The sequence below is a fragment of the Homo sapiens genome, chromosome 4, assembly GCF_000001405.40.
Source record: "Homo sapiens chromosome 4, GRCh38.p14 Primary Assembly".
Taxonomy (NCBI): domain Eukaryota; kingdom Metazoa; phylum Chordata; class Mammalia; order Primates; family Hominidae; genus Homo; species Homo sapiens.
The window spans coordinates 189177141-189179735 of record NC_000004.12 but is presented as its reverse complement, the minus strand read 5'-3'; the positions used below and the strand labels follow the sequence as shown (position 1 = coordinate 189179735).

Below are 2595 nucleotides of genomic sequence, written 5' to 3'. Positions count from 1 at the left end.
GATCACACCCTTTTTGTTTAATCCTATTTCCACACAGCTGTCCATACGTTGTTGAACCTAAGCATAAAAATGGACAATTTCCCCTGCATCTCTGGGTCCGCAGTCTGAAGACTCCACTAAGATCAAATAAATTTGCCTGTCTTTTCTCCTATTAGTCTCCTTCGTGAGTTGATTTTTCAGCAAACCTGCAGAGCATAAAGGGGAAGCTTTCCCCTGGCCTCGACAACAGGATGGCCTGGGTCTATGACACCCACATAGACAGGCCCTGGAAATAAGTTAGAGAGAAAAAGGTGAGCTGAGAATGGCACACATGACATGCCTCCTCAGTGAATAAAATCCCGACTCCCGAAAGCGGCCTGCGTGGCATCAGGGGATCCCTGCTGTCTCCAACTCTGCAAACATCTTCTCTTGCCCATCTCCCCCTCAATCAATGTGAGCTGTTTACAACTGTCTTTCTTCTAGCAACCTGACCCTGTGTTCATAGCAGGTCCCTGCACTCTGCCTCAAGGGCTCTTCCTCCAGATCTGCACACAATTTGCTTTGGAACTTTCTGAGATCTCTGCTCACAATCACCTTTTTGGAGAGGTTCTCCTCACCACTGTCTCCAAAATGTCAGCCTCTGTTGTGCTCTGTCTCCTCATCCCTTCCCATGGCCTTCAATTACTTATTTACTATGTCCATCCTTCCCAGGTCAGTCTTTTCCATTCGCATGCAGGCTTCATAGGGACAGAGCCTGCCACAGACCGGTGCTCAATGAATTCGATCCGTTGGATGAATGAATGCATATGATGTTTTATTATGTGTTAATAACCATAGGTTTGATCTTGTTTAGAGATGCGGACATATGTAGGGAAGAGTGAGAAGGAAAATAGCAGAGCTTCTTTCCCTTTTCCTCCATCACAGGGTCTCTCTAATGACAGAGGATACAGAACCCTCCACAGAGTCATGAAGGGTTCTAAGCCATCCAAGGTTACACGGCCTCTGAAATGGCCTTCAAAAAAATTATGTCCATGAGAAAATTATGGCAGTAAGGGAGGTCTGATCTTGCCAACGCCTCCTTTTGCCTCTAGCTTTCCAGTTGCCTTAATTATTCCTGGGCCTAGGTAAATTTGGAAGACAATTAGGTTATAATTTAAATGATAACAGCCTTTCCTCAGAACTCAACCATCTTTGTAAAGCTAATGAGAGACCATTGGGCTAGTGGGAGAAAAAGAGCTTAAATTCTGCTAAGGTATAGACTGGTCACAAGATAAACAACTTCCCCAATTACTCCTGCAGATACCATCACTATAGTAGACTGGACTTTTGAAATGGCTTTTCAGGTTTTTTGCATGTCTGACACAGATGGCTCCAACTGGACCTGCCAAACCACCCATGTAGCACCCACCACTCAGGAGCAATTCAGCTCAAGAGGCAGCTTCAACTGCTTACGAGTTCATCTCCACCCCAACCAATTAGCAGCAAACATCCATTTCCTAGCCACCGCTGCCCCTTCTAAACTGCCTTTGAAAAACCCTTAACCTATGAGAGCCTTCAAAGAGATTGATTTAGGTAATAACTCTGTCTCCCACATGGCCTGGCCAGTCTCACATCAATTAAACTCTTTCTTTACTGTAATAATGTGGTCTGTCTTTGTGCAGCAAGCAGGAAAAACCCATTGGGCAGTTAAACCTCTTTCCCTGGTAATAACAGAAACCCCTCCTTTGGATTGGCAGGACACACCTGTTAGCCTGAGATAACACTCCTAGTTGTCCACAGTGTGAGTGGAATGTGTGGGGTTCCATGTGCCCTGGTGATCAAAGCAGGGGTGCTGAGAGGACAGTGAGCCCTCAGGGTATGACCAGGAGCTTGTGGAAAAGAGAAACGTGGGAGCCAGAGGCAGACGCCAGACAGGATCAGTGGCACATCACCACAGGCCAATCTACTGACAAGAGCAGCCTCTGTGGCTCAGGCCACCGATGACCAGAGCCCCTAAGGCAGACTGTATTATGCAAAAGTGGCCACAGGGATATTTCCCATTCCACATGCTCTTGCAAAGGGATCTTGACAATATTTGCACTGAGCATTCTGAATTATGTTCCCTTCCTTTGAATCTGAGTGAGCCTGTAACTTGCCTGTAACCTGGACAGTGCAGCAGAAGTAACTTGTGTGCTTCCCTGGGCTGGGTCCAGAAAGGTGATGACCACGGGGATACTTGCTTTTGAAGAGCTCGGTTTTCATGGAAACAGATTTCTGCCTTCAAGCACCTTCCCCATTAGCTGGGGAGGAAGCCCTAACTAATCCATGCAGAGAGATCAGATAGAGGTGCCTGGGTGCCTGGCCAGGACGTAGCCATTCCTTTCCTGTGGTCTCAGCTTCAGCCACCACCTGTGGGCAATTCATTGAGAAACCACAAGCCAGAGGAGCTCTTCCGTCTTCAAAGCGCAGATGCTATGAGACACAATACAGTCACTGTTGCTTTACTCACCACATTTTAGAGTGACTCGTTAGCAGCATTAGTGACTGGAATAGGCTCCCCTGGGCATAGTTACAGGGAAGGTTAGGCACCTGGTAGACCCATACACCACTAAGGGGAGAAAAAAGAGGAAGAGGAAA

General features: G+C 47.1%; 2 annotated features.

The window, feature by feature from the left end:
* Positions 594-1220: an enhancer, noted in NCBI's record as "OCT4-NANOG-H3K27ac hESC enhancer chr4:190099670-190100296 (GRCh37/hg19 assembly coordinates)". NCBI's record gives its function as "activates a minimal SCP1, AML or CMV promoter by ChIP-STARR-seq in naive and primed H9 embryonic stem cells {active_cell/tissue: H9 hESC(naive and primed)}" and the evidence as "EXISTENCE:reporter gene assay evidence [ECO:0000049][PMID:30033119]".
* Positions 1221-1847: an enhancer, noted in NCBI's record as "OCT4-NANOG-H3K27ac-H3K4me1 hESC enhancer chr4:190099043-190099669 (GRCh37/hg19 assembly coordinates)". NCBI's record gives its function as "activates a minimal SCP1, AML or CMV promoter by ChIP-STARR-seq in naive and primed H9 embryonic stem cells {active_cell/tissue: H9 hESC(naive and primed)}" and the evidence as "EXISTENCE:reporter gene assay evidence [ECO:0000049][PMID:30033119]".